The following is a 5,559-nucleotide window of genomic DNA, read 5'->3' as shown; positions in this document are numbered from 1 at the left end:
TGCTGATTGCTCCACACATACGTCCCATCAGACACACTCAACCAGATTTCGTTGGTGAGGTCACTTGAGGTCCAGCAGGGCCATCCCAGGCTGCAACTCAAACCCAGGAGACTTCATCGGAGGCTCCTCCGAGGACGACATGCGTCAATCAATCAGCAACGTGTAATGCCTAACCTTGTTTTTTTTACTAACCCTACTTTTAGACGTTCCCTTTTTGTCTCTTTAATGACCTAGCCTTGTTTCCCATGAGAATAGACTCTCTCTCAGCTGGGAAAGCCGGACGCACTCCATTTGGCCCCTTGATTTACAAGACACTAAGTGCTCCTTACCCAACCCCCTTCCTCAAGGAGTTAACCTGTGTAAGCAGACCGTCAGCATTTCAAAGGAGCTCCATTAACTGAGAAGATACTGGAACAAACAATGTATGAAGTTCCCAGGATTTTGCTCAAAAAGGATGACAACAGAAAGCCCCTCGGCCTCCCAAAGTGCTGGGATGACAGGCGTGAGTCACTGCACCTGGCCAGCGATTGGAGTTTTTAAGGATGATTTGGTGGGTGGGGGCTCAGGAAGCAGAGAGTGCTGGTTGGTCAGGTTGAGGGTGAAATCACAGGGGTTTGAAGTGAGTCCGTGCTGTCTTCTGTTCCTGTGTGGGATGGCTGATATCTGGTTGAGCCACGTTACCGGTCTGTGTGGTGTCATCGGCTGCATTGGAATCCGGGATCTGCAAAATATCTCAAACACCGATCTTGGGTTCTGCAACAATGATGTTATCCCCAGGAGCTATATGTGGGAGGTTCAGACTCTTGGAACCAGAGGCTGCATGGTCCTTCAGGCGTAATTCCTAATCTTGTAGCTAATTTATTAGTCCTGCCAAGGCAGGCTGGTCCCCAAGCAAGAAGGTTCCTGCCGTCCCTGCCCTCCCGGAAAAGGGCTATTGTCAGTTTTGTTTCAGAGTTTAAACTATAAACTAAATTCCTTCTGAGGCTACTATGCCCAGGAATGAATAAAGACAGTTTCGAGGTTAGAAAGAAGATGGGGCGGGGGGAGGTGGGTGGTTAGGTCTCTTTCGCTGTCGTAATTTCTTCAGTTATAATTTTTGCAAAGGCGCTTTCAGGAGGACAGGGAGGAATGAGGGCATCATGAGAGAGCCAATTCCTCCTCCATCCCAGCCCCAGGGCTGAGAATGTGGACACAGCCCCTCCTCCTCCTCCTCCATCCCAGCCCCAGAGGGCAGAGTGTGGACACCACCCCTCTTCCTCCTCCATCCCAGCCCCAGTGGGGAGAGTGTGGACACGGTCCCTCCTCCTCCTCCTCCATCCTAGCCCCAGGGGTGAGGGTGTGGACACCAGTCCTCTTCCTCCATCATCCCAGCCACAGGGGGGAGAGTGTGGACACAGCCCCTCCTCCTCCTCCATCATCCCAGCCCCAGGGGGGAGAGTGTGGACACAGCCCCTCCTCCTCCTCCATCATCCCAGCCCCAGGGCTGAGAATGTGGCACGGCCCCTCCTCCTCGTCCTCCTCCATCCTAGCCCCAGGGGTGAGGGTGTGGACACCAGTCCTCTTCCTCCATCATCCCAGCCCCAGGGGGGAGAGTGTGGACACGGCCCCTCCTCCTCCTCCATCATCCCAGCCCCAAGAGAGAGAGTGTGGACACCACCCCTCCTCCTCCATCCCAGCCCCAGGGCTGAGAATGTGGCACGGCCCCTCCTCCTCCTCCTCCATCCCAGCCCCAGGGGTGAGGGTGTGGACACCACCCCTCTTCCTCCATCATCCCAGCCTCAGGGAGGAGAGTGTGGACACGGCCCCTCCTCCTCCTCCATCATCCCAGCCCCAGGAGAGAGAGTGTGGACACCGCCCCTCCTCCTCCTCCATGGACACCGCCCCTCCTCCTCCTCCATGGCAGCCCCAGTGGTTGAGGGTGTGGACACCACCCCTCCTCTTCCTCCTCCATCATCCCAACCCCAGGGTGGAGAGTGTGGACACCTCCCTCCTCCTCCTCCATGGCAGCCCCAGTGGGTGAGGGTGTGGACACCACCTCCTCCATCTCAATCCCAGAGAGTTCAGGTGTAGACACGACTCTTCCTCCATCCCAGCCCCAGGGGGAAGGCATAGCCCTTCTTGCATCCCAAAACCAGCTGCTGAGCAGTTTGGTGACGTCCCCATTGTACCTGGGTCTACAGCATGAAATCTCTACGTCTTTATGGAACCCAGAATTAACCCCCCAACAGCTGTTTAATCTTCAACTGTCCCATATCTGGGGATGCATCTCCTGGTTTGAAATCTCTGCTGTCAAGGTGCCTTTTTCTTTCCAGAATCCCTATTGCACTGTTTCTTTCACTCTGACCTCTGTGTTTCTTGGTGGAGCTGGAATCCTCCGGGCTCCCCTCCCAGGGAGCCTGGCTTGGCCTCCCTCCTCCTCCCCCTTGCAGCCCGTGCCAAAGACCCCTCAGTGTGCGGTGGCCTCTTGTTTTTTATTATTTTAATTGGTGCTTGAGCCCTGCAGGTTTACGACCCCCGTGTTTACACTAACTGTACTTTAATAAGTCGCCTAAGAGGTAACAGGAGCATAGGGCTCTATAAATGTTTTAATTCACACAAACCCACCCAGCTATTTCCATCCACACCCAGTGTGGTCGGGACGTGAAAATCGACAGGGCCAAGGTGCTGGATCAGGCCCCCGACTCCCCCGGCCGCCTCTTCCCTCTTCTTTAAACGTTTCCAGCAGCCTCTCACTTTTATGTTTGCGCTTGTCTAAACGGTGCTCTGAGGCCGTTCACACACCCCCGGAGCCCCATAAACCACCGCTTAGGACAATCTCCTTTTACCACCTGCCCTAGGAGACCGGCAAACCCCACATATACAAACCCCACTGTTTCCAGAGCTCTCTTAGGTTACGAAAGACGCATTTGGGAGGCTCAGGAAGACAGCCAGACACCCAAGAATCTGGGCCTGAAGCATTTCTTCTTGCAATGTGTTTGGGTTTCCTCTGTCTGTCCTCATATTTCTTATCCTAAGACAGATTTCTTATCCTAAGAAATTAGGCTCGGATTTCTTATCCTAAGAAATTATCCAACCTAAGAAGTCAGGCGTGCCAACTGAGGGGACCTGGAATGTATCTATCTATCTATCTATCTATCTATCTATCTATCTATCTATCTATCTATGTATCTATCATCTATCTGTCTATTATGTATTTATTTTGAGACGGAGTTTCGCTCTTGTTGCCCAGGCTGGAGTGCAATGGCACAATCTCGGCTCACCGCAACCTCCACCTCCCGCGTTCCAGCGATTCTCCTGCCTCAGCCTCCTGAGTAGCTGCGATTACAAGCCCGCGCCACCATGCCCGGCTAATTTTTGTATTTTCAGTGGAGATAGGGTTTCACCATGTTGGTCAGGCTGGTCTCGAACTCCTGACCTCAGGCTGGAGTGCAGTGGCGCGATCTCGACTCGCTGCAACCTCTGTCTCCCGGGTTGAATCGATTCTCCTGCCTCAGCCTCCTGAGTAGCTGGGATGACAGGTGCCCACCACCATGCCTGGGTAATTTTTGTATTTTTAGTAGAGTCAGGGTTTCACTATGTTGGCCAGGCTGGTCTCGAACTCCTGACCTCAGGCCATCCACCCTACTTGGCCTCCCATAGTGCTGGGATTACAGGCGTGAGCCACTGCGCCCAGCCTCGTTGAATGCATTTATAGGATGCCAGGGATTTGGGGGCCTAGGCATGGCACATTGTTTTGCAAAATGCCAAGAACCCAGCTTGGGAGAAGATGGTGCCTTGGCATGGAGGGTAAGGAGACGTGTGCAGCCGGGGACGTCCTAAATGTTCGCTGGCACTTTCAACAACCACATTAAACATGGGCTTGGACAGAACGTTGAAAATTGACTCTTTTAGAGATTTCGAAATGTGAAATGTATATAAGCCTATGTCAAAACGTCACATTGTACCCCATAACATATACATTATAGATCCTAATTTCAATTCATTACATGTATATGTATATAATAGGGTATATATGTGTGTGTGTATACATAATAGAGTATAATAATATATATTTATTTTATTATACATTTAATACATATAAATACATATAAATATGTATATGTAAATACATACTTATATAGTATATATTATATGATATATGATATATTACATGCTGTATTATTTTATTATTAATTATAATATATAACATGTATAATTATCATATAATATATAATTATATTGTAATATATTATATTTTATATATAATAATATATTATATTTTATAATGTTATATAATATAATAAAATATACTATATAATAATATATTATTATATTTTATAATGTTATATAATATATGATATAAAACATAATATATAATAATATATTATTATATATTATGTTATATAATATATTATAATAAAACAATATATAATAATATATTATTATATATTATGTTATATAATATATTATAATAAAACATAATATATAATAATATAATATATAACATGTATAATTACTATATAATATATAATATAGTATGTAGTATATAGTATATGTATAATTATAGAATATATAATTAATAAATATATATTATGTTATATATTATATATAAGATATATGATTGCTATGTAATATAGTTAAATATATTATATATCTTTAAATATGTATATTTATAGATATAATATAACATACATCAATATATAATGGGGCACAATGATATATATTTATTTTATTTTAATATAATAAATCAATACATATAACAAACATGCATTTATATGTAAATATATTTAAAATATATGTATTGATTATATTATACATATATTATGCGGTACAATAGTATATATATTTCATTTTACATATAAATAGATATATAAATATATGTATTATATTATATATAATTTAAATTTATATATTTTATATATTCTATGTGTCATATATTATGGGGTACAATGATTGCATATTAAATACATGCAATTATTATTGGTCAATGAAAAATAAAATATGAAAAAAGAAAGAGAAAAAGACAGATGAAACCTGTGGTCAGCTCTTGTGGGAGCGCGGAAAGCAAGTCCAGAGCTCAGAAGTGTCTCTTCTTTTCTGTGGTTTCACGATGCGGCACCGCTATGAGGAATATGTGAGGAATATCTCTTGGCTCGGAGGATGAAGACAGGCAGCTGCTGGCATGAAGACAGCAAAGGCCTTTGGTTCCCATCTGCAGAAGAATATACGTGTCTCACATGAATGCATTGTTCTTCTTGGCCAAAGTCAATCCACAGAAAACATGGTATGAGTTCTCCTCTCTGCTTCTATGAGTTTGACTATTTTAGATTTCTCATTTAAGGGAGATCATGAAGTATTTGTGTTTCTGTGCCTGGCTTATCTCACGAAACATAATGTCCTCCAGGTTCACCTGTGTTGTTGCAAATGGCAAGATTTTCTTCTTTTTCAAGGCTGAGTAATATTCCAATGCATGTATATTATTGATGTCCCAATTTCTTTATCCATGCATCCATTCATGGTCGCTTGGTTTGGTTGCATGTCTTGGCTATTGTGGATAATTCTCCCAATATCTTTATCCAT

General features: G+C 44.2%; 1 annotated feature.

Annotated features, from left to right (window-relative positions):
- Nucleotides 1,097-1,596: an enhancer, noted in NCBI's record as "H3K4me1 hESC enhancer chrX:941763-942262 (GRCh37/hg19 assembly coordinates)". NCBI's record gives its function as "activates a minimal SCP1, AML or CMV promoter by ChIP-STARR-seq in naive H9 embryonic stem cells {active_cell/tissue: H9 hESC(naive)}" and the evidence as "EXISTENCE:reporter gene assay evidence [ECO:0000049][PMID:30033119]".

The sequence above is a fragment of the Homo sapiens genome, chromosome X, assembly GCF_000001405.40.
Source record: "Homo sapiens chromosome X, GRCh38.p14 Primary Assembly".
NCBI lineage: Eukaryota > Metazoa > Chordata > Mammalia > Primates > Hominidae > Homo > Homo sapiens.
The sequence above is the reverse complement of the archived record's forward strand: the minus strand, read 5'-3'. Positions and strand labels throughout refer to the sequence as shown.